Below are 24,223 nucleotides of genomic sequence, written 5' to 3'. Positions count from 1 at the left end.
ACTGCCCCCACTAGATGCATATTGGGAGCTGGAGATGGTGAAAATAGACACAGCACTTTAGGGGCTAGATGAGTATACAGCTGGTTTAGGAGTATATCTGAGTTATGTTTATAATAAATAGATAATATGACAGAATAAATGTTTGGGATTTTCTTTTGGTTCCATCGAAAGTTAGAGGACCTCCTTCTAGGATTTGTTTGCCTCTTCTGGAATAATGCAGGGCCTATGTGACTCCTCAGGGACCCTGGATGCACACAGTTCATGTCCCCAGGGATGAGGATGCCAAGAATTGGGCAGAGGTAAATGAAGTGGTCATGCTTGGGTTACCAGGGAGTTAGAGCTGAACCTGGACAGTAGTTAAAGGAGAGAAAGATGAGAGGCAGCCTTCTAGGTGGCTGGCACTATGCTTAAGAAGAAGCTGAATTTGTGGGAAGTCACATGGGTGATCACGCAGCTGCGACACTTTGGGTAGGCGATCATATTTGATTCAAGATTACGAGGGAGCAGGTACAGTGGTCTGATTAAAGTGTCAGACTGCCTTTATTCTTTTTTGTTTGTGTGTTTTGTTTTGTTTTGTTTTGTTTTGTTTTGTTTTGTTTTGTTGAGATAGAATCTTTCTCTGTTGCCCAGGCTGGAGTGCAGTGGCGTGATCTTGGCTCACTGCAACCTCCACCTCCCAGGTTCAAGCAATTCTTGTGCCTTGGCAACCTGAGTAGCTGGGATTACAGGTGTGCGCTACTGCACCCATCTAATTTTTGTATTTTTGGTAGAGATGGGATTTTGCAATGTTGGCCAGGTTGGTCTTGAACACCTGGCCTCAAGTGATCCGCCCACCTCGGCCTCCCAAAGTGCTGGGATTACAGGTGTGAGCTACTGCATCTGGCCCAGACTGCCTTTAGAGGTAAGGGCTGTGACCTGGAACAAAGACAGCCAGACTGATGAGAAGAAAGGTTTGACTGAATGGGGATAAAGGTAGGGAACGTAGCCTCCTAGCATGGGTAGGGCTAGTCCATGGATGAAGTCCTTAGGCTTCACTCACTCATTCTCTCGTACCTTATTCAGTCACCAAACAGTGGTGAACAAGATAAAATGATTCCTGGTCTGTCCTTCAAATAGCCTGTATTAGAGTGGCTTGCCAAGGGGTTAGGGTGCTTTGCTGTGTCTTAATTAATTGGGAGGTGTTTCATAAGAAATTTGCTACTAACAATTAAAGTCTGGTACTTTTGTGAATTTTTGCCTAAAAATTCTTTTCCAAAAAAATTTAAGCAGTTATCTTCATGCTAATGTTCTTCTCATTCACTTGTGTGCTGATATGGGCAAGAGGGTCACAGTTATAGCATCTACATAGGTTGTGGGTGGCTCAGGATTTGCCCATGGGAATGGATGTTGTAGGCAAGTTGCCCATCTCTCAGGTTATGGGGGAAAAGCAAACTGAAAAAAATTGCTGCTTTAACCTGGTGGGTTTTCAAATTTTTTGACCCATCTCATGTTCCCGTCACATTTTATGGTATGATGTATGTATATGACATATTTGTTTATATACATAAAATAGAAAAGAAACTAAAGCTTCACAAAACATTATTTATACTTCCGAATTCTGGTATCTTCTATCCTATTTTAATCAGCTCGTTTTCATTTAAAATAGAGTTAATTTTGACTGATTAAATTGATTCTACTACCAGTGGTTTGGAAAACATTGCTCAACCAAACATGAAGGGGAGGCTGGAGGACTGTTCTACCTTTCCAAGCCTGCCTTATCAGCGATGGAGTGTCAGGGTGAAGTCTGAGGGCCCAGTAGCAGAAAGGTGTGGGCAGTCTAGTCTTTCTCTTTTCCAGATGAGGGGAGGTTTCAGCCTTGTTGACTCAGGTTCTCTCCTCAGAGCTCCATGAACCTGCCTCCAGACAAGGCCCGGCTCCTGCGGCAGTATGACAATGAGAAGAAATGGGATCTGATCTGTGACCAGGTATGGGGTTTGGGAAAGAGGAGGGAGGTAGGGAGTTGTGTCTTGGGCTGGCTAAGGCTGTGGGGCCAAAGGCATTGAGTGCAGCCTTGGGTTCCTTGAGGAACCCTGGCCTAAGCTTGGCCTCATCTGTGTTCACTTTCTTTTCCAAGAGGATTCTCATAACAGAGACAGAGCTGGCAGGCCAAGTTCCCCTCTAGCTCCCACAAAGAGCTGTCTTGATTTCTTCCAATGGGCAATAGTATAAGGGGATTTGTGTAGATCAGGGGTATAGGATTGGCTGTGCAGGTTCAGGGCTATGCCCGGTAGGGTGCTCAAAGGACTGTTGATCTCTCACTCTGTCTTAGCCCTGGCAAATAGCAGGGTCTTTCTCATTATCTCAGGGCCTCTAGGAATGAGAAGCCCCAGACTCTAGTCTTTTGTTCCCAAATCTCAGAAGAGTCAAGGTCTGGAAACTCTCTCTGCATGAACAGTGTTGAGAGCTGGAAGAGAATAGAAATCATTACTTTGCTCAGAGTTGAGAGTCTTCTAACACATATGACCTGGCTCTTTCCCTTGCATGCATTTGAAGATCATGAGTCACGAGTCTGTGAAATGAGACAGGACTGTATGCAGGGCTGGGAGAGTTGGCTTTTACCTTTTTACATCTTGGTAGAGATGGAAGTATCTGGCAGTGTGGGTAGTGTGTTTACCCAGCACTTTGCCATGTACAATTTTATTATTTCTTTTCAGGCTCTGGGTGAAATAATAATAGGTAACATTTATTGAGTGCTTGTTATGGACCAAGTACTCAACACACTGAAGTATCTCATTTAATCATCACAGAACCCTCTGAGGAAGGCAGTGTTGGCATTTTATAGATGAAGAACCCAAGGCTCAGTAACTTGCCTAATGCTAGTAGGTGATGAAGCCAGGGCTGAGCTCAGGCAAGCAGATGCCAAGTCTGTGTTAACTGTTCTGTTCCACTGCCTCCCCAGGTCATGCTGCTTGACGTAAGCTAGTAGTATGCTTCAGAGATCTTAGTCCAAGTCCCTTCTCCAACAAAGGTCCATATCCTTGTGTTCTGCATTAAGAGGAGTTGGTTAGCACCTGCTTGGGGTTTGGAGAACAGTAACCCTTTGATATTGAGGGTCTTTAATTGATCTCTCAGTCTTTCCTAGGTCAGATAATTTCAGCTGTTTCTCACACCTTTCGTTTTTTTCTTTGATTTGTTTTTAGGTCCTACTCTCTAACATTATATCATTCTCCTGGACATTTTTCAGCCCCTCCACCCACCAGCTCTTCAGATATCTTGGTGGTGGCAGCTCTAATAGGACCAGAATGCTAAGGGGTACTCCCTGAGTTTCTTTTTGGGTCAGATGAAGGGGTTGGCCTAAAGTAGGACGTGGTCCCAGGTCCTAGGTAGAAGGGAATCGAGGGATGACCTTGCTGAATGCAGCCTTCAGTATTTGAGGTTGCTTTGGATTGTTGGGAGTCTGGGCAAGGAGCAGTGTTTGCAGCCCTGAGCTGTGTCAGCTCAGCAAAACCATTCCAGTCCCAACTGCAGAGTTCATTGCTGAGAAAGTTGGATTCTACAAAGCCAAGCTCCTCTCCCCTTGGCCTTCCTAACCCATATCCATTAGTTGGCCAGGCAGTGAACAGCATTTCCCAATCATATCTTTTTTTAATTTTTTTTTTAGAGAGGGATCACACTCTGTTGCCCAGGCTGGAGTGCAATGGCATGATCATATCTTACTGTAGCCTCAAACTCCGGGGCTCAAGGGATCCTCCCACCTCAGCCTAAGTAGCCAGGGCTACAGGCATGTGGTAGCCACCATGCCTGGCTAATTTTTTAAAGTTTTTTTTGTAGAGACAGAGTCTTCCTATGTTATCCAGACTATTCTCAAACTCCTGGCCTCAAGCAGTCCCCCTGCCTCGACCTCCCAAGCGCAATCAATTATATCTTTATTTTGGGTGCTGTTCACAACTCTGTAATCCCCAACATCTTTGTAGCAAGCAGCACACTTTTAAAATACTTTTTGACATAGAAAAACATTTTAGGCTCAGGGAGCACTAATTGGAGGAGGAGGAGATGGCAACAGGTGGTAACACCTGGGGATAAGTCAAGGAAGGGAACCTCAAGTTTAGGTGATATCTAGAGCCAGGTGACAACTTGGAGAGGCTGAGTCCCCCTCACACTGAACACTATGAATGCTCTTCTTCCTCAGTGCCCTCCTCAGGTCTCTGGTTGTCTTTGTGGATACGCATATGCATGTTTCCCTTACAGGAACGATTCCAGGTGAAGAATCCTCCCCACACTTACATTCAGAAACTCCAGAGCTTCTTGGACCCCAGTGTAACTCGGAAGGTGAAGTATGAGGCAGAGAGTCCCCGTCTTGCCACCCTTTATAGTCCTGTGGGGTTTGGGGGCAAACCCTTTGACTTGGATATTGGACATCTGTTTCTGAGCATTGGGAGTTGGATTTCAGGGTTCTGTGGCCAAGGGCCTGGAATGGCTGGCCAGTAATGGAGGGAAAGTCTATAACTGCCCTCTTGTATTCCCTTCCTTTCCTACCCTTTTTACAGAAGTTCAGGAGGAGGGTGCAGGAGTCAACCAAAGTACTAAGGGAGCTGGAGATCTCTCTTCGCACCAACCACATTGGGTGAGTTGGATTGGCCGTATAGCCTCTTCATCTGGCCCCAGGCTGCTGGCTGGGCACACAGGGTCTGGTGTCCTCTGAGGATGGTGTTCCTGTTCATCTTCCCTGCCATGGGGCAGAGTTGCCCCTTGAATGGCTTCTGGCTCCCCAGAGCTTTGGACTGGTTCTTTACTGGCTTTTCTACCCCCTCAGCTCTGCCAGCTGCTGACTAGATGTTTCTGGCAAGCTTGAGGCCTCTCCTGGGGTCCTCTGCCTGTGGCTTTGAGTGGAAGACATTCCCACAGCAGTTGAGACTGGAGTCTGCCTGTGGCCTGGTGCTGGGCCAAGCGAGGCTCAGAGAAGGCTGAGGGTGGGGAGAACATACTATATTGGGTAGCTGAGACCTAGTTCCCATTCGGTGACTATTTGGACTTTTTGGTGCCTGGAAGTTTATTTGCTTGTTTGGGAGAAGATAATCTTAGTTCATGAGCAGAAGCTTCCTTAAGCACCAGGAAAGATGTAAGGCACTGGGGGCAGGAGCTGAATGTTTTCTATATTCACAGACCCTGGTGTCCCCAACACATTGATAGGGCCCTTAGGAACTGTGTGAGTCTTTTTTTTTTTTTTCCAGTCCCTGAGTGGGAAACCAGGAATTGCTGAACAAGCAAAGAGCTAATGTGTAAGGTACAGTGAAAGAGGGTATTGGCCTCAGTGTTACGAAACTGTAATCAGCAAAGGTATATGCAAAGGTATATGAAAGTGAGAGAGAGAGAGAGAAAGTGTGTATATGTGTGCGTATGTGTGCTTATGCAAAAGGACAGTGAGGGACACGTGATGTAGAACTGCAGGCAGGGGTATAGACCTGATGGGAGGGCCTGGCACAAATGTCCAGTGCTTATGAGTGAGCAGTGGAGGCCCAGGTGGGGGTGGGGTGCCCAGGCTTCCTGACAGGGGGTTAGAGACAGCCAAATGACATCATTAGCCTTTCCCCTCCTGTTGTAGCAGCAGCCCTCATCCGCCCCCAGGGCAAGCCTTCCCAGGATTCTTTAGAGGGAGGGGACACCTGTGTGTAGCCAGCTGTAGCAGCAATCACAAGGGAAACAGCACAGGAGAGAACAGGAAAGGGATGGTTCCTGGCCTCAGTAACTGTGCTCTGGTGGCCAGAGTATGGCTTCTGTACCTCATCTGTGAATCAGACATTGAAAGTCAAGCTGCTGAGAAAGGTGTGGCCAAGCCTCTTCCTTTGTTTGGTCAGTCCTTCACTGACTTCACTGACTGAAGGACAAAGTGGCAGGGGCTGCTTAGTACCCCTGTGTGTGAGGGCAAGAAGGACACCGATGGCAACCCTGAGTGCTACCTGCCACCCTGAGCCCCCTACCACTCCGCATTCCTCCATAGGTCCCTTCTGTCCCTCTCAGCCCTTCTGTCTTCTTTTTGTTTATTTGTTTTTTAAGACAGGGTCTTGCTCTGTTGCCCAGGATAAAGTACAGTGACATGATCATGACTCACTGCAGCCTCAACTTCCAGGGCTCAAGTGATCCTCCTATCCCAGCCTCCCAAGTAGCTGGGAGCACAGGCACACACCCATGCCTGGCCATTTTATTTTATTTATTTATTTATATTTTGAGATGGAGTCTAGCTCTGTCGCCCAGGCGCCATCTTGGCTCACTGCAACCTCTGCCTCCCAGGCTCAAGCCATTCTGCCTCTGCCTTCCGAATAGCTGGGACTACAGGCGTGTACCACCACGCCCAGCTAATTTTTGTATTTTTAGTAGAGATGAGGTTTCACCATGTTGGTCAGGCGGTCTCAAACTCATGGGCTCAAGTGATCTGCCTGTCTTGGCCTTTCAAAGTGCTGGGATTACAGATGTGAGCCACCGTGCCTGGCCTGCCTGGCCACTTAAAAAAAAAAATTTAGTAGAGATAGTTGCCTAGGCTGGTCTTGAACTCCTAGGCTCAAGTGATCCTCCTTGAGGATCCCAAAGTGGAGCCACTAGTACCTAGCCTTGTTTTCTTGATTAAGTCTTGCTGTAGTCATCTGAGGATAGGGGTGTGCTTTTATTGGGAGAAGGCCACAGAGCAGTTTATGATAGTCCCTGCTGCCTGCCCCCTCTACCTGGTGCCTGCCCCTCTGGCTGCTGGCCAGGAGCTATGTCCAAAGCAGCGTGGTTCCCAGGCCTGGGGCCTCTTGGCAGTTGGCACACAAGTTAGAGGTCCTGGACCTGGTCCTTTGTTCCCAGGGAATAGCTCAGTGCCTGGCATTTTAGGCATGCCTGCCATCTGAACTGCGGCTTCTCTGGGTAGAGTTATGTGGAAGGACCAAGATCCTTCCTGGATTTCTGGGCAGGAAGAGTTTGTCAGATTGTGGGTGCTTCAGGGTGGCAGGAACCCAGGGCAAGGTGGGGAGAGGAGGATCCTGCTTTGGTCACAGCCTGATCAGCCCCAGGGCTTGCAGAAGTTGGGTGTGCAGGAGCAGCAGATGGGAACTCAGGTTCTGGAGAGGGATAGGCTGGGAAGTGGGATTCCAGAGCCTCTCCAGCTCCTCTTTCCCTGGTTTGTATTGGTTTCTGTGCCTTGCCTAAGCACCCTTTAACCTCTCCTCAAAGTGTCAAGATCCCGAAATAGCAGTATAGACTCAGACAGGAAATGAGAAGGGGGTGGGGAGCTGGAGAGCAGACAGACAGGAAACGGGAGGCCTGTTGGCCCCCAGAGAGGAAGCTAACTTCAGGCAGCTCCGGTGTCAGTCAGCTTCAGCCAGAGCCTGCTGCCTAATCTCAGCTGGGCCTGGTGTTGTAGCTCCAGAGTCTCTCTGTAGTTTGGGGTGTGGCTGGCCAACATGGCACTGGTTTTCCAGCTGTTGGGGAGAAAGGCCCCGCAGGGCAGTTTGGGAGGAGCTTTCCTATAAAGACCCCCAGAAATTCTGAAGGAGTAGAGCACTCTAGATTAGGGTTTCATCCTGAGCGTTTTATGTTTCTGCTATGGAATGAACCTGTCATATAACAGTTCCCTAGATTTGCCCTTGACTTTCATTCCAGGAATATCTCAGCCCAAAAGAACTGAAAGCAGAAGGGAAAATAATGCCCTGGGATATGGTCCTTAGGTGCTTTGTTGTCTACCTTCCTGGCTGAGGGGGACCCACGTACTCAGGTTGACTCTGAGTGGTCATAGACATCCTGGAGTTCCTTGAGTTCCTGTTCATCTCCCATGCTTTTTCTGGTTCTGCCAAACTCAACATGACTAAATACAGAACTTCTATACATCTCTGCTCACTGCTTTCTAAAACTCCTCTCCTTAAACTTAGTAGAGAGTGCTTTGCCCCAGGATGCCTCTGTTCCAGAGCTCTCCTTGACCCTTCCTGCTGGGGTCTTGACTGAGGCTTCAGTCAAGTTGGAGACTTGCTGGCTTCGGTCAAGCACAACTCTGCACACGGGCCTGTAGTAAATGCTCTTGATGCTTCCTAAATTCTTCCAACAAACACTGAGCAAGGACATGTGGAGGGATGCAGAAAATAATTGAGCCAGGGTCTGGCCCTTAAGGAGGGAGTACCTGAGAGCTTGTTTGTCTGAAGCACCTTCACGATAAAGCAAGTGGCATTAGAAGGGCCTGAACTTTCCCCATCCCTGACTTCCCTGCCTAGGGGAAGTCCATGACCGTGGATGGGTCTGTCATGGGTTTTGATCTTCAGAATTTTCTTAGCCTGGTGCTGGGTTCCAGGAGGAGGAGGTGTTGGGTCAGAGGCATGTCACCCCCCTCATCCTTGACCCACTTTTAGCAGACCCCTTCCACTGTGTTTCCTTTATCTGCAGGTGGGTGCGGGAATTTCTGAATGATGAAAACAAAGGCCTGGATGTACTGGTGGATTACCTGTCCTTTGCCCAGTGTTCTGTCATGTGAGTACCACCCCGGGGCTGAAGTTGGGGACCAGTTGGGGGAGGACATAGTTCCATTCTACTTTGATAAGGAAGGGTGAGAGTTCAACAATGAAGATGGAAATGGGAATCCTGGACAGGAAGGAGTAGCCCAAGCAGTGGTGTGGAAGTAGGCAGGCAAGCCCGGAGATGTCTGGGGATCAGTGAAGAATGGCACTTGGCTGGAGTAGAAGATAAGATGCATTTTGGAGAACAGGACAGAGAGATGGAAAGGGAGCTTGGAATCAGAACCCAAGGCATCCAAATGCCAAGCTGTGAGCAATCCAGGGAAATGTCCTGGCTTCTGGTAGAGATGCCTTGGTGGGATCCATTCATCTTTGCAGAGTTGAGTCTTCCAGAAGCAACTTTGGGTTTCCAGATGTGAGAAGGTTACTCCAGGTCATTGTTGAAGAACCCAGGAACAGTGAGTTCCTTTTGACCTGGATAGAAAAATGAAGTATTCAGGAGTCTTTTTCTAGCAGGCAGGGGGGCTTGGAGGCAGCCAGAAGTGAGTTAGCACAGAAAAGGCGGCCTGGTATAGTGGAAGGAATGAGAGCTCTTGAGTCAGACAAAGCTGGGTTTGGGTTTCAGTTCTGTTATTTACTATCTGTGTGACTTCAAAGCAAGTTTGTGTCTTCTTCTATGAAAGGAGATCCACATTCCAGGGTTGTTGTGAAAATTAGATGATAACGTGTGTTAAAGCACTTAGTATTATTTGGAACATACCGGGTCTGTATTGTGGTAGCAGATCTATTGTTAATTTCATTATTATTATTTAAAGTGGCATACCCTACCACAATTACCTGAATATATGAAATTACATAATAAACATAATGACCAACACATTTAGACTTACACCTAAGACAGGTCAGCCTTAGGGAGACCAATCTTCCCAGTTTGCCCATAACTTTCCCTAGTTTTCCCCAGCGTCCCAGGAAACTCCTCCATCCTAGGACTTAGCCCTGACATTTTTTTGAGACAGGGTCTTGCTCAGTTGCCCAGGCTGGAGTGCAGTGGCACGATCTTGGCTCACCACAGGCTTGACTTCCTGGGCTCAAGCAGTCTTCCTGCCTCAGTCCTGCCTCAGCCTTGCTGAGTAGCTGGGACCACAGGTGTATACCACCATGCTTAGCTAACTTTTTGTGTGTTTTTAGTAGGGACGGGGTTTCACCATGCTGCCCAGGCTGGCCTCGAACTCCTGGGCTCAAGCGATCCACCCTGCTTTGGCCTTCCAAAGTGCTGGGATTGCAGGCGTGAGCCGCTGCTCCCAACCAGCTTCCACTTTTCTAACTACTGTCCTTGCCCCCTTGGCCATTCTTCTTTGTCCAGCAGGTCTTCAGTGTCATCCCCTTAGGAATTTGATGCTTCTTCTATGTTCGGCGCCTCTCACCTTTTCCAGGTTATCCTGTTAAAACCAAGAGTGGCCCACTGCATTCTTGTCTCAGCAGAAGTCATACCTCGTGTGATTCTCTTATCTCCTAAAAAAAATTCTTTTTATAGAAAGAAATGAAAAACATTTGGTGAAATAATTTTTCTTAAAAAATTCAGAGCTTTTATAGTAAAAAATGTAGCTCATTTTTCCAAATAAGCCTCTCTCTCTTACTTGAAAAGCAAACAAATTCCAGCCACCCTAAACCAAGAGTACCCTGGAACCTCAGTATTGTAGTGTCCATGGCAATACCTTTGACTCTGTTTTTAAAAAAGAAGGACTTTGTGTGGGGGAGAGAATGTGTGTTTTAGGAAGGATTGAGAGGGAAAGGGTGAGGCTAAATAGAGTTGGAGTGAAGATAATTGTTTGTAAACTGCATATACCAGTACAAGAGGATACAGTGTTACTGATGGAATCAGCAAGCTGTTTCCCTGTCAGGAGGTTCCTCTGATGTCTACTTGAGAGCCCCATTAAACACCTCCTGATCATGAGGACACTAAAGCCTGCTCCCACTTCCTTTGGAACATTCTGACGTCTGTAAATATCCCTTCCTATTCCAGAAAGCCTCAACCTCTGTGCCTTTGACCCCATGTCTGAGCAGAATGCTTCTTGGGGGAGAAGAACCTGTAAGAGATGCTCCCTTAGTCTTTAATGACCTACATGGAGGAAGAGGACAAGAAGGAGGAGAGGGACTGTTTCTCAGAGGGGTATATCCTGAAGTGAGGATGATAAGAGAGGAGTCCCTGTGAGTTTGTGATCTTGGCCATCTTCCTTGTCCTGGCCACATTGACAAACTGCTGACGGTCGCTGGGTGCAGTGGCTCACACATGTAATCCCAGAGCTTTGGGAGGCCAAGATGAGAGATTGCTTGAGCCCAGGAGTTTTAAGACCAGACTGGGTAACATAGCAAGACTCCATCTCTACAAGAAAATTTTAAAAAATTAGCCAGGCATGGTGGCACGCACCTGTAGTCCCAGCTACTCGGGAGGCTGAGGCTGGAGGATTGCTTAAGCCCAGGAGTTAGAGGTTACAGTGAGCCATGACTGTGCCACTGTATTCCAGCCTGGGCCACAGAGTGAGACCCTGTCTCTTTAAAAAATAATAATAATAATAATTGCTGATGGTGGAAGACATCTGTTCCAGGAGCAGAAAGTGACAAACCATTCAACTCCTGCAGAGGCTATACTACAGGACCCTGGTCTACAATCTCAACTTGTAATTTCTTCCCCCAGGGAAACTGAAGCCCAGGGAGCCTGTATACCTGAAAAACCTAGAAACCTCAAGTAGCCAGAACCATAGAGAACCTGGTCATTAAAACCCAGTGCTAAGATGGGGCAGTGGTGCTCCTCCAAACAATAAAGGACTGTCCCACTCTGGGTTTGCCAGAACCCCCTTTCCCTTCCATTTAGTCCTGCCATCCAGAATCAACTGGACTCCTTCAAAGCACTGAAGGGCCCTTTGGTTGCTGGCATTTGCCAGCTAGCAAGACCTGCAGTTGGCTCATTCCCCACCATTCCCTCTATGGGGCAGATTCTTCATGGGGAGCCACAGCTTCCCGGAGATGTCCCAACTAAGCTGGGAGTGCAGAAAGACTGCCAGCTCCCGAGTGGCCCATGGGGAGGACACTCCTTCTGGAATTTCCTGGCTAGTGGGGAGCAGAGGAGTTGGCCTCCATCAGCTTCCCATCTCCTTAGACTGCCCTCCTTGTTGCTGCCTGTGCTGCTTCTGCCGCTGTTCTGTGTTAGTGGCTCTTCCAGCTAGGATCAGGTCTCTGCTCCCCAGTTCTGCTTTCTCTCCTTGCTACCCCTGCTGCTTGTTGCCCTAGAGGCCTGAAGGGTGGGGGTGGGCTCACGGGGGGCCTTGGCACTGAATTTCTCCTGTGTATGTGCCTGTGTATGCGCATGTGTGTCCTTTCATGCTCCAGGTTTGACTTTGAGGGTCTGGAAAGTGGTGACGATGGTGCATTTGACAAACTCCGGTCCTGGAGCAGGTCAATCGAGGACCTGCAGCCACCCAGCGCCCTGTCGGCCCCCTTCACCAACAGCCTCGCTCGCTCTGCGCGCCAGTCTGTGCTCCGGTATGTGTGCTTTTGCTCTGCCCACCTGCCTCCCACCCTACCCTTCAGTGCAGGTCTCGGGTTCAGCAGTGAGTGCTCATGCTCCTCCCTCCACTCTTGCTTCCAGGCTCAGCTCTCTTGCCCTCTGCCTGCCAGTCTGTCTCTGGTCTGTCTTCTCTGTCTCCTTGACTCTGCCCAGCGGTCTGTCCTGGGTAAGTACATGGTCTCAGCTGCACTTACCCAACGTGGGGTTCCAGCTCTCCCCATTCCTCACCCCTCTCTGGGGGAGCCCTTCATTCCTCTCACTCTGCCATTCCTCCTGGGTCTCTTGAGCAGGGCACATCTCATACAGGTCCATGGCCTTCACTGGGTGATCCAGCTCCTACTCTCATTCTGTTTCCCTCTAGTTCTTCACTCTGCCCCTTTAGCTGCTTGGAGACCAGCTCCCACCCAACCTGGCTGCCCCTTGCATTCCCTTCACCTCTTCCTTCAGGCCTTTCTCTCTGAGGCTGCCACATGCTCATTTGTCTGCGGTGTCTTAAGAGCCGCCCTGCCTGGAGGTAGGCGGATGGACTGGATGACTTCTCAGAGCCCCTTCCTACTCTGGGAGGCTTTCCTTTGGGTCCCATGGCCCTTTCCTTGGTTTCTGTCTCTCTTGTGGCCATGCTTTCCTCCTAGTCTCCTTTGGGTTGTGTCCCTTGGACACTGTTGATTATTCTTGTCATGGATGAGCAGATACTGTATGTGTCTCCTCCCTTTTCCATGAAACATCACTGAGAGGGTGGAGGGGTGGTGCAAAGCCAGACATAGCCCTGTGGCCCAGCTGAAGCCTTTAGGGGTCAGCTCTGCCTTTTCTGTGATACAGAAGTGGGATGGGAGCCATGACGCTCTTGTCCCACAGATTGTGCAGAAGGTGCAGCAACTGGAAGTGGGTGGAGGGAATGCTCAAATGACTGTGTCTCTGGAGCCATCTCAGGGACTAGGAAGGCCTACACAACTACTATTTGTATTTTGAAGGATCTCTAGGGTTGGGGCACTGGTTATAAAACCGGGATCCTGAATAGTTGCTGACAAAGGCCTGTTTAAGGAGGTGAAAACAGGCTGACCACCCTGCCTCCTGCACCCTGTCCCTCTTGGCTGTTGGTACGAGGTGCTATTCCCTATTTTTTGCCACTGCTAAGGGGCAGCCTGCTGTCCGGGTGATGGTGAGTGTCCCTAGATGCTTCACTGGCAGCCTCAGCTCCCACCTGACTGCCTGGCCCATCTCCCCAGGTATAGCACTCTCCCTGGGCGCAGGGCCCTGAAGAACTCCCGCCTAGTGAGCCAGAAGGATGACGTCCACGTCTGTATCCTTTGTCTCAGAGCCATCATGAACTATCAGGTAAGGGGGAAGCACTAGCCATAGGTGCTCTACTTCTTCTGCCTCATCTGCAAAACCAGGAGAGCTAGGAGGGCATCAGCTTATAAAAGACAGGTTTGCTGGTGGGCCTACGGTCAAGGAGATTGGCTGGGCTCCCCCTTCCCCACCATCAAGGTCCCCTCCTTCTGTCCTTTCCCTTGCAGTACGGATTCAACCTGGTCATGTCCCACCCCCATGCTGTCAATGAGATTGCACTTAGCCTCAATAACAAGAATCCAAGGTGAGTTCCTTCCCTCCCCTTTCCTCCCCACTCTGTCCAGGGCTCTGGAGATCTGTACTCCATGTATTCCTGACAAGTTCTGCCTGGCCTTGGAGTCCTGTCAAGAGCCTTGGTTTGGCCCCCTCCTCTGCTGGAAGAGAAGTGTCCCTGGCTCTCCTCTGGTCTACACAGCTTAGTAAGGGAGCAAGCCCTCTTTCTCCCACCCTCTCTCCTCACCACTGAGGCTTTCTCCACTCTCCAAAAGGACTTACCCAGTCAGGGAAATGAGCTGTGTGGTTGTCAGGATGGGGAGTTAGGGTGTTAATCTTCCTTCTTCACCCCTTAGGACCAAAGCCCTTGTCTTAGAGCTTCTGGCAGCTGTGTGTTTGGTGCGAGGAGGTCACGAAATCATCCTTGCTGCCTTTGACAATTTCAAAGAGGTCAGTCTTTTCGCTTCGCGTGTGTGTGTGTGTGTTTGCGGGGGAGAAGGCAGGGAGCTAGGTTGGTAAGCACCATTTCCTGTGATCTGCAATGATTTTTAACATCCCAATGCTTGGCCAAGCAGCCTCTCTCCTGAACTCCCAGTATTTTTAAAACCAGAACTTTAGTCTTACTAGATCTTCAGGCCAGGAAACCTCCTGATTGGCCAGCTAAAGATACCCTCAGCTAGCTGAGGGCTATAGTCCAATGGTCCTAGTTGGGCCCTGCATCCAAATCACCTAAGGAGCTTGTTAAAAGTACAGATCCCTGTGCTCTAGTTCAGACCCACTGGAGGCCTGAGTATATGTACTTAAGTGACTCCCCAGATGGGAGTCTGATGCGGTGAACCCATTGGTAGAACCCAAAGCACATGTGTTTTGAAATGGGAGGAGAAGGTAAGCAAGGATGTCTCCTGATTTGTTGGCTGTTATTGGTGAGGGGAGAAGGAACTCCTGTGTGGAATTTCCCCCAGCCCCTGGGCCTGCCTCTGAAACCCCTATCTACTTGAACATAGGATTCTTCGACATCCAGCCACAGCTGGTGGTCCCACCCCTTCCTCTTCTTTGGACCTCTTCCCTAGCATCCATTGTTCAAGCCAGGAAATGGCTCTTCCTCCTTGAAGCCCAGAGGCTCAGAGGAGCCTCTAGACCCCTCTCAGAGAGGGCTTTCCTGTACACTGGCCCTTCCCCTGCATCCCCACTAGGACTGCAGCCTCCTGTCTCAGGCATGGCCTTCCTCCCTTCCTCCTTCTTTCCCTCCTTCCTTTAGTAACTTGGCAGCATCAGACCCCTATGTTTCTTCTTGGCCTATCCCCAGAGGCACCTAAAGCCCAGCTTAAGGGCACAGGCTTTACTGAATTCCCTCAGCAATTTGGTGGGGGACCACAGACCCAGAGCCAGATTGCAGGTCCCAGTTTTCTTTATTTTCTTTTTTGAGATGGAGTCTCACTCTGTGGCCAGGCTGGAGTGCAGTGGCACAATCTCAGCTCACTGCAACTTCCACCTCCCAGGTTCAAGCGATTCTTCTGCCTCTGCCTCCCAAGTAGCTGGGACTACAGGCATGTGCCACCATGCCCGGCTAATTTTTGTATTTTGAGTAGAGATGGGGTTTCACCATGTTGCCCAGGCTGTTCTTGAACTCCTAACCTCAGGTGATGTGCCCATCTCGGCCTCCCAAAGTGCTGGGATTATAGGTGTGAGCCACCGCGCCTGGCCCCAGGTTTTCTTTTATAGTGTCCAGAATGGCCTATTTCATATATAGAGCTGTGGTTAAGCTTGGTCTGAACCAGTCCTTTGCCATGATGTTCCTAGGAGCCAGAGCGCAGGGGCTTGGGTTCTGCATGGAGCAGATCCTTTCACTGAGAAAGTTTGCTCATTCAGGTATGCAAGGAGCTGCACCGCTTTGAGAAGCTGATGGAGTATTTCCGGAATGAGGACAGCAATATTGACTTCATGGTGAGGAACTGGGCCTGGGTCCAGCACATACCCACCAGGGCTGTGTGTGTGTTCCTTGACAACAGGGGTGAGGCCAACAGCGTATCTTGATATTCCACGTAGAGCCCAGAATGATTCTATTCAGCAAATGCTTCTTGTCCACCTGCCTACCCCAGAGAGCTCTTAGAAACTTCAGGATATCATTTGTGTATATCAGATCTACCTCCTTTTCCTCTTTTCTGTGGCCTTTTTGTCCTTGAATTGGATCCTTTTTGAGCTGCCCTCCCTTTCCTAAGCTCTTCCTCTAGCTTCTCTTCCCCTCACTGCAGGGTCTTTGGCTAGGTAAGGTTGTCTCGAGGAATACCTGTTGATGTACAAAGGAAATCAGATAGCTATATCTTCACTTACATCTGTTTTTCATGTAATTTACTTGTCTTTATACACTGAATATTAAATGACATTTTTAAAATTAAAATACTCTTATTGCCCCCATAAAGACTTAACTCTTTAATTGACTCCCTGTAATTATCCACATGATGATGATATTCTAACAGCCGCCTATCCTCCTGGTCTCTTGCCTTTCCTCTGCCCTTCCTGTTGCTGCTTCTCTGGGCCTCCTCTTCTTCAGGTGGCCTGCATGCAGTTCATCAACATCGTGGTGCACTCGGTGGAGGACATGAACTTCCGGGTCCACCTGCAGTATGAGTTTACCAAGCTGGGGCTAGAGGAGTTCCTGCAGGTGAGCTGGCTGGGGTCCTTGTAAGGTGAGGTGCTTTGGGATCAGTTTAGCCGTATCACAAATGATTTTTCTTTTATAAGTGCCTAATCCTTGATGCTCCTGGGACCCTGCCTGTCTTCTGTAGCCTGGGACTCAGGACCTCTGCAGCTAACTCCCCAGTCAGGCAGCTCCATGGGGGCGAGAATCTGACATGGCCTGCAGCAGGAACTCTTTGGGAAGTGGTGGCGAAGGGGGATGAGGACTAAGACTTTCTCAGAAAGTTCCCCTGATGATCTGCCTGCTCCTACAACTACTCCTACTCTCTGCTCTTCCCCCAGAAGTCAAGGCACACAGAGAGCGAGAAGCTGCAGGTGCAGATTCAGGCATATCTGGACAACGTGTTTGATGTCGGGGGTTTGTTGGAGGATGCTGAGACCAAGAATGTAGCCCTGGAGAAGGTGGAGGAGTTGGAGGAGCATGTGTCCCATGTAGGTGGTCTTCCTTTGCCTGCCAGAGCCACTGTTGATGGAAGCTCAAGTAACCAGGAATCCTGAGCTGACCCATTTGCCTCCAGATTGAGTCCCAGGGAGGCTTTAGAACCCACCAGGGCTCTCAAGAGCATACTCAGGCCTGAGCCACTGGATCATCCACCAGTTGGAATACACATCGACCTCCAGGGCTGGGCATGAGGTGGCATTGGTCTTGAGACAGTCAGAATGTGGCCTTTGTCTTGTATCTGTTATTGGAATATAAGGGAACCACCTGACTAAGCTGCCTTTGTGGCCTTGTGTTGAGGGGTCCGACTCAGGTCTTGACTAGGGTTCAGGCTGTGCTGAGTGCCCAGGCTTTAGGGCCAGCACAGAACCTGCCCTTCCTGTTGTGCAGCTCACAGAGAAGCTTCTGGACCTAGAGAATGAAAACATGATGCGGGTGGCAGAACTAGAGAAGCAGCTGCTACAGCGGGAGAAGGAACTAGAGAGCATCAAGGTACAAGTACTCTGGGGAAGGCAGTCCCTGACTGATCCTGGGCTCCAGCGCCTTGGGGTTCTGCTTTTTTTCCCTGAGTCATATCAAGTTCTCTAGGATTTAGATCTTGATTCACCCTTGAGGTACTCAGGTGTGGGTGGGCTGATGATTTCACCCCATTTTTTTAGTTGGAGAGGAAAGGTGGGGCCAGTGTGAGCCAGACACACACATAAGAGGGTGGGAACAGCTGGGGCACCCACAAGCATTCTGGAGTTCCAACCCAGGCCTCCTCCTACCAGCCCATCCCATTGATTTTTCTCCCCTCTACCCCCGTGTTCCTCCCCCAGCCATGTTTAATGAGCAGGGGCAGAGTGACCAAGTGCTCTGTGTATTAGGATGTCCACCAGGTATCCTAAATTGGCAGGGCAGGTACTCTTCATATTTCATTCTCTTCTGTATTTTCTCCTGACTTTTTGTTCATTATAAAGTCATGCCCCCATCCTACTTTCTCTTTCAGAAGAATATATGCTGGCTCTGTTGAGCTCAATATGTATCTGCCCAGCTTCTGCTGAGCATTGTATTGGGAGCTATGGAGGATACAGAGATGGTTAAGACAGGGTCTTGTTTATAGGGGGCTTCCAATTGAGCCATTATACAAGGCCAAGTGAAATTAAAGCAAAATGAGGCCCAAAGGGTTATGGAGAGAGCCGCTATGTCAGACCGGTGGTAGATTAAGGAGAGTTTCACAGGGGCAACCTTTTTTCCTGGGCTTTGAGGGGCCCATGCAGTGAGAATTGGCTGGAGCAGAGAGGACACTTCAGGGTGCCAGCGGAGGGAGGCAGCTTCTGCTTGCCTCTTTTGTTTTGCTGCCTTCCAGCTTCCTCATTCCCCCACCTGGGTTTCTGCCACTCTGAGCCTCTGAGTACCCTGACAGAGACCCTCGTTAAGAGAACCCTGGGTAGGAATTCTCACTCTTGGGGCAATGACTATGCCTTCAGCCCACTTTTCCCTTAATGGTGCTGTCTGCCTGCCAGGAGACATATGAGAACACAAGCCACCAGGTGCACACCCTGCGGAGGCTCATTAAAGAGAAGGAGGAGGCCTTTCAGCGTCGATGTCATTTGGAGCCAAATGTCCGGGGCCTGGAGTCTGTGGACAGTGAGGCCCTGGCCAGAGTAGGCCCTGCAGAGCTGAGTGAGGGCATGCCACCCTCCGACCTGGACCTTCTGGCTCCAGCCCCACCCCCTGAGGAGGTCCTGCCTCTTCCTCCACCACCAGCTCCGCCCTTGCCCCCTCCACCTCCCCCATTACCAGGTAACCACGACGACCCCTGGGAGCCAACAGGGGCAGCCTCTTTGTGGGGACCAAAACTGTAGTCAGCAGTGTCTTCCTCAGGGAGAAGCTGGGAAAATGGCATTATCTGAGGACTTGGAGGGATATAAAATCAGGGTGAGGGAGGCCTGGAATCTGAGGGAAGCTCAAGTTATCAGCACAGGGATGCCCAAAGGCAGATGTGGACCTGTTTTAAGGATCATAAAGATGTTGCTCCCAATTCCTTTGAAGACAGCCAAGGAGAGGCTTAGACTGTAGCCATAGAAACTGGGTCAGAGACCAGCAACAACTGCCCTGTCAGAGTTAGATTTCTGGGAGCAGCTTGAGCAGAGTTCATGTAGGCTCCTTCTCTGAGAGTTTTTTTTTTTTTTAACTCTCAGAGAAGGTGGGACAGGCAGAGGGGAGGGAAGCCTATGAAGAGTCTCTTGACGCCTGGGTCACTGTGTCATTTCTTCTTCCCCCAGACAAGTGTCCCCCAGCCCCACCTCTCCCTGGTGCTGCACCCTCTGTGGTGTTGACAGTGGGCCTGTCAGGTGAGTATCCCCAGGGCTCTGGGCAGGGCTGGTGGGACCAGGGGTGTGTGTCCTTGGCCCCTGTGTCACTGATCCTCCTTCCAAATTAGCCATTCGAATTAAGAAACCTATCAAGACCAAGTTCCGGCTGCCTGTCTTCAACTGGACAGCACTGAAACCCAACCAGATCAGTGGCACTGTCTTCAGCGAACTTGATGATGAGAAGATCTTGGAGGTAACAGGGCCTGGGGTCCAGAGGGCTAAGGTTGAGGGCTAGGGACCTGGTTGCCTTTTGAGGAGATTCTGGTCTTAGAAAAGCCATCAGACAGGGTGAGGCCAGGCTTAGCTCCACCAACCCTTCATTCTTGAGTGTACGTATATTTCTAGTTGTGTCAACACTTTGTGTTTGTATTCAGGAAATATTCCAGAGTGACAGAGCTCTGGGCCAATGCTGGGTGGGCTGTCATGAGGTCCTCCACTAGTATGAGGCTACAGCGTTTTCCTTGCTCACCTATTCCTGCCAGGACCTGGATCTTGATAAGTTTGAAGAATTATTCAAGACAAAAGCGCAGGGCCCTGCCCTTGACCTCATCTGCTCCAAAAACAAGACAGCGCAAAAAGCTGCCAGCAAGGTGACTCTGTTGGAAGCCAATCGTGCCAAGAACCTGGCCATCACCCTACGCAAGGCTGGCCGCTCGGCTGAGGAGATCTGCAGGGCCATTCATACGTGAGGCTCCCACTGACCTGGCTCTGGTCCCTAGTCTGTTGGCAACCCAGTTCTCCACCCAGGAGCCTGGGTTTCCCTAGATTCCAGGTCATCTGACAGAACTCCCTCACATCCCCCTAGTCATCCACTGGCTTGGCTAGAATTTACTGCATCTGTGCTGGCAGTTCAGCCCAGACCTTCACCCAAGGAGCTCTCAGTCTATTGGGAACAGTGCAGTAACACTGAGTGATACCACCAGGATGGTAGAAGTATACAGGCAGCTTTGGGAGAATAGGGAGGTTCATGTAGCTGAGCTTGGTGATGAATGAGGGAAGCCTTCCCAGAGGAGGTAATGTCTCAACTGGGACCTGAAGAAAAGATATGAGTTAGTCCAGTTCAGGGCCTGGAGGGAGAAGCATAGTGCCTTGGGTACTAAAAATTGAATCTGGCTTTAGTGTAGGGAGAGGAGCAGGAGAAGGTAGAGAGTTGGGCAGAAGTCTTGCAGGCTGGACCTCGTAAGCCATGCTCAGGTGTTTGGACTTCACCCTAGGTACAGTGGGAGTACATCAAAGGGCTTATTAAACAGGAGCATGGAGTGTTCCCCCGGGATCATTGCTGGTGCTGTGACAGATGATGCAATGGGTCCTTTGCCTTTGGCTGTGTTCCGTGTACAGTCCCCTGTCCAGTTCTTCTAGGAGCTTGGAGAATAAAAGGGATGAGGGAAAACGTGGAGAGATGTGAGAACTGAGGTGGTCCCTCCCTCCTCCACAGGTTTGACTTGCAGACACTACCTGTGGACTTCGTGGAGTGCCTGATGCGCTTCCTGCCCACAGAGGCTGAGGTAAAGCTGCTGCGGCAATATGAGCGGGAGCGGCAGCCCCTGGAGGAGTTGGCAGCTGAGGACCGCTTCATGCTGCTCTTCAGCAAGGTGGAACGGTTGACCCAGCGAATGGCTGGCATGGCCTTCCTGGGGAACTTCCAGGATAACCTGCAGATGCTCACACCGGTACAGCCCCCACCCAACTCATGGCTCTGGACAGCTGTCCCTCCACCCTCCATCTGCTAGTCACCTCCCCTGCCCTTCCAGTCCTTCTGACCCCTCCCTGTCTTTACCCCATCTCAGCCTGGGGTTACTTCAGTGTTCATATTGTCCTACAGCAACTCAATGCCATCATTGCGGCGTCCGCTTCCGTCAAGTCTTCACAGAAGCTGAAGCAGATGTTGGAGGTGGGAAGAGGTTGTGAACAGGGGTGCTGGGGGTTTTCAGGTCCTAGGTGGGGGCCTGGGGCTATACAGAGAGGAAGAAGGAGCCTTCAGGACCTGAGCCTGACCTGCCTCCCACACATTCTTTGGACAGATCATACTTGCACTGGGGAACTACATGAACAGCAGCAAGCGGGGAGCTGTGTATGGCTTCAAGCTCCAGAGCCTGGATCTGGTAAGATGGTGAGGGCAGCGTGGGCCAGGAAGCCTGGGGGGCAGCAGTTGTGGAGCCAGAGTGCTTAGCTCTTGTGCACCGCCCTCACCCCCTCTCCTAGCTGCTGGATACCAAGTCCACTGACCGGAAGATGACACTGCTTCATTTCATCGCCTTGACAGTGAAGGAGAAATACCCAGACCTGGCTAACTTCTGGCATGAGCTGCACTTTGTTGAGAAGGCTGCAGCAGGTGAGGAGAGCCTGGCTGGGTGGGCCTGCCCTCACATCCAGCCCAGGACAATCCCAGGAAGCTATGAGGAGAGAGAACACTTGGGTCCATTTGTTTCTGGCTTTTGTTATCTTCTTTCTGACCACTTCAAAGCTTTCCGCTGGAGCCTTAAGCAGGGGCCACTCCAGAGGGAGCCTTCCTCCAGGCGCCAGGCCTGGCCCAGCCCAGCCCTTCCCAGCTAGGTACAGTGGGAGCAGGAACAAGAAGGGGAGCAGTCGCTCTTTACTCCCAACTCCCTCAAGCTGGCCCCAGAGGTCTTGTGTTTTGTGTATGATGTATGTGAAGTGCTTAGAAAAAAATCATAAAGCTCTCTATAGACATGAGGTAGCTGTTATTTCTGCCCCACCCATGAACCCTAGGGCAGGCCTGAGGCAGTTTCATTTTGGAGACCAGCAGTCTCTGTGGCTTGCCTGCCTTTGCTACTGTGTTCTTTGGGGTCACAAGCTCAGTTTCCATTCCATTCCCTCCCCCTGTGAGGGATCAGCTAGCTTGGTGTGTACTTCCTTATGTCCATACAGGTATGTGAACCTGAGTGAGCCCATGCTGAGGGGGAGGGCCAGAGTTTGATATAGCTCTGGGCTGGGAGGTGAGCATGCCAGGCCCTAGGCATTCCTCAGCCAGGCTTTTGGTGACCAGTGTCCCTGGAGAACGTGCTGCTGGACGTGAAGGAGCTGGGCCGGGGCATGGAGCTGATTCGGCGTGAGTGCAGCATCCATGACAACAGCGTCCTCCGGAACTTCCTCAGTACCAATGAAGGCAAACTAGACAAGCTCCAGCGGGACGCCAAGACGGCTGAGGCAAGCACGGGGTGCAGGCGGTGGGAGCAACCAGGGCCAAGGCACCAGGCCCCTCTAGGTGGCCCTAGTTCTATTTTTTTTTTTTTTTAAATCAAGCAGCTGGCTGGCTACATGTAGGGGAGAGAGAGCGCTTTGGGAGTGCCAGGCAGCTGCCTCTGGAGACATGTAGGGGAGAGAGAGCGCTTTGGGAGTGCCAGGCAGCTGCCTCTGGAGACTCATACTCAGGAGCTTTGGGAGCCCCAGGTTCCCTCCAGCTCACAGGGGCCTGGGTGCTTGGTTTTCCTCCCTTTGGCCCTGGGCTCTGCTTTCTGCAGGCCTCTCATCCGTGGTGTGGGAGCTGGGCTGATCTTCCTGCCAGGGTGACCCATTCTGCCCACCCCTTCCCCAGGAGGCCTACAATGCAGTTGTGCGCTACTTTGGCGAGAGTCCCAAGACTACACCTCCTTCTGTATTCTTCCCAGTATTTGTCCGATTCATTCGTTCTTACAAGGTAAGCTGCAGAGAGCTTTTTAAGAAGTTTGGTTGCGAGAAAACTGGCTGGGGGAGAGAAGCCTGGGCTTAAAGTATGGGCCTTTTCCGACTCCTCCTCCGAGTCCTGGGAAGGGAGCGATGCAAGCTGGTGACAGGCCTCTTAGCTGTGAACTGGTGGGCAGGGTGGGGCCCAGGACCTTCCTGTCATTGTTTGGGGCAGGAAGTGCCCCTCCAGAGGGTGGCCACCTGGAGTTAGCGGGTCCCACTGCCACCCACTCTCCACCTCAGTGTCAGCCCCTCCCCTCACAGCCTATGAGCCTCACTCCCCACCCCCCATCTTCCATGGCTCTTAGGAAGCAGAACAAGAGAATGAAGCCCGCAAGAAGCAGGAGGAGGTAATGCGGGAGAAGCAGCTGGCTCAGGAAGCCAAGAAACTGGATGCCAAGGTGGGTGGGACCAAGAGCTGGGGCCTGGAGGACGACAAGGCAAAAGAGTGGGGGCTGGGGGTCAGAAGGCTAGAGGAGATGAAAACTTGGAGTGGACAGACCACCCAGAGGGCCAGTGGGCTGGCATCCAGAGGGATGGAGGGAGGGCCTTTGGGGATTCCTAGCAGTGCACAAGCAGTGGCATCCTCAGACTGCACCTTGGGGCAGGAACCAGTCCCACATTAGGTTAGTGATGACTTCCTTCCCCTCCACATTCTTGGCCCTAGACCCCATCCCAGCGGAACAAGTGGCAACAGCAGGAGTTAATAGCAGAGTTGAGGCGGCGCCAGGCCAAGGAACACCGGCCTGTTTATGAGGGGAAGGATGGTACCATCGAGGACATCATCACAGGTGGGGCCCTTTTCACTCCCTGGGGCCTGGCCATTGCACCCAGCTCCCAAAGCTCAACCTAACCCCTTTGGGCTCTCCTCCCACCCCACCCCCCATGAGGCCTGACCACTGTGTCTCTCTCCTGGGCCACAGTGCTGAAGAGTGTCCCTTTCACGGCCCGTACTGCCAAGCGGGGCTCACGCTTCTTCTGTGATGCAGCCCACCATGATGAGTCAAACTGTTAGCCCCCAAGGTTGGGGCCCGACAGGTACTGGGCACCGCAGCTGCCCCCTCTGCATGCCCGTCTCCCAGGATTCCTGCTGGGAGACCACAGGCACCTTCTTTCCTGCATGACTTGCAATCACCCTCTGGCAGCCTCCCAGCAATGGGGACACATACTTCTTGCATGCCCCATGCTCTGAGAAGTGTGGCATATCCCCTGCATGTGTCCTTAGGGAAGTGGTCTCTCTCCCACTAATGCTGTCCTGGCTTCTACTAAGACCAAGTGGGTAGGGAGTCACCAGGCCAGTGTTGAGAACAGGCCAGAGCAGGCAGGACCAGACCTACAGTTCTGATCTTTGAGGCTGAGGTTGAGGGTCCATTCCCAGGCCTAAGGAACCTTTCCCTACGGTTCTCTTCTCATAAGAGCTCTGGTAGTAGCTTCTGACCAGGAGGTATCAGATGTCCCTTGATCT

At 50.9% G+C, this 24,223-nt stretch overlaps 1 protein-coding gene across 15 annotated transcripts in view, besides 4 other annotated features; it reads left to right on the top strand.

Annotated features, from left to right (window-relative positions):
- Positions 1-24,223, top strand: part of FMNL3 (formin like 3) — a 70,907-nt gene that overhangs the window by 36,971 nt on the left and 9,713 nt on the right. For 3 of the 15 annotated variants that reach the window (XM_011538971.3, XM_011538968.3, XM_047429861.1), the window contains exons 2-26: positions 1,881-1,964; positions 4,228-4,308; positions 4,527-4,603; positions 8,386-8,469; positions 11,841-11,993; positions 13,245-13,353; positions 13,536-13,612; positions 13,938-14,031; positions 15,451-15,525; positions 16,133-16,243; positions 16,561-16,710; positions 17,108-17,209; positions 18,223-18,502; positions 18,985-19,053; positions 19,143-19,267; positions 19,557-19,759; positions 20,510-20,744; positions 20,897-20,965; positions 21,096-21,176; positions 21,277-21,406; positions 22,082-22,242; positions 22,631-22,732; positions 23,067-23,159; positions 23,426-23,549; positions 23,682-23,793. In XM_011538971.3, coding sequence (XP_011537273.1) covers positions 1,881-1,964; positions 4,228-4,308; positions 4,527-4,603; positions 8,386-8,469; positions 11,841-11,993; positions 13,245-13,353; positions 13,536-13,612; positions 13,938-14,031; positions 15,451-15,525; positions 16,133-16,243; positions 16,561-16,710; positions 17,108-17,209; positions 18,223-18,502; positions 18,985-19,053; positions 19,143-19,267; positions 19,557-19,759; positions 20,510-20,744; positions 20,897-20,965; positions 21,096-21,176; positions 21,277-21,406; positions 22,082-22,242; positions 22,631-22,732; positions 23,067-23,159; positions 23,426-23,549; positions 23,682-23,773 — 2,961 coding nt within the window. In that variant the 3' untranslated portion in view covers positions 23,774-23,793. Of the gene's footprint in view, positions 1-239; positions 300-850; positions 1,806-1,880; positions 1,965-4,227; positions 4,309-4,526; positions 4,604-8,385; positions 8,470-10,508; positions 10,662-11,840; positions 11,994-13,244; positions 13,354-13,535; positions 13,613-13,937; positions 14,032-15,450; positions 15,526-16,132; positions 16,244-16,560; positions 16,711-17,107; positions 17,210-18,222; positions 18,503-18,984; positions 19,054-19,142; positions 19,268-19,556; positions 19,760-20,509; positions 20,745-20,896; positions 20,966-21,095; positions 21,177-21,276; positions 21,407-22,081; positions 22,243-22,630; positions 22,733-23,066; positions 23,160-23,425; positions 23,550-23,681; positions 23,797-24,223 lie in introns of those variants that run through there. The other 12 variants (XM_047429859.1, XM_011538970.3, XM_047429864.1 and 9 more) reach the window with 9 other exon arrangements.
- Positions 6,609-7,547: an enhancer, noted in NCBI's record as "H3K27ac-H3K4me1 hESC enhancer chr12:50056671-50057609 (GRCh37/hg19 assembly coordinates)". NCBI's record gives its function as "activates a minimal SCP1, AML or CMV promoter by ChIP-STARR-seq in primed H9 embryonic stem cells {active_cell/tissue: H9 hESC(primed)}" and the evidence as "EXISTENCE:reporter gene assay evidence [ECO:0000049][PMID:30033119]".
- Positions 6,876-7,035: an enhancer, noted in NCBI's record as "active region_6321". NCBI's record gives its function as "activates an Ori minimal core promoter by ATAC-STARR-seq in GM12878 lymphoblastoid cells {active_cell/tissue: GM12878}" and the evidence as "EXISTENCE:reporter gene assay evidence [ECO:0000049][PMID:35858748]".
- Positions 11,519-11,696: a silencer, noted in NCBI's record as "fragment chr12:50052522-50052699 (GRCh37/hg19 assembly coordinates)". NCBI's record gives its function as "represses an EF-1alpha promoter that drives an FKBP-Casp9 reporter gene in an ReSE screen in phorbol 12-myristate 13-acetate-treated (for megakaryocytic differentiation) K562 erythroleukemia cells {active_cell/tissue: K562(+PMA)}" and the evidence as "EXISTENCE:reporter gene assay evidence [ECO:0000049][PMID:32094911]".
- Positions 21,827-22,819: an enhancer, noted in NCBI's record as "H3K27ac-H3K4me1 hESC enhancer chr12:50041399-50042391 (GRCh37/hg19 assembly coordinates)". NCBI's record gives its function as "activates a minimal SCP1, AML or CMV promoter by ChIP-STARR-seq in naive H9 embryonic stem cells {active_cell/tissue: H9 hESC(naive)}" and the evidence as "EXISTENCE:reporter gene assay evidence [ECO:0000049][PMID:30033119]".

Source organism: Homo sapiens, chromosome 12 (assembly GCF_000001405.40).
Source record: "Homo sapiens chromosome 12, GRCh38.p14 Primary Assembly".
In the NCBI taxonomy this organism is placed as follows: domain Eukaryota; kingdom Metazoa; phylum Chordata; class Mammalia; order Primates; family Hominidae; genus Homo; species Homo sapiens.
The sequence above is the reverse complement of the archived record's forward strand: the minus strand, read 5'-3'. Positions and strand labels throughout refer to the sequence as shown.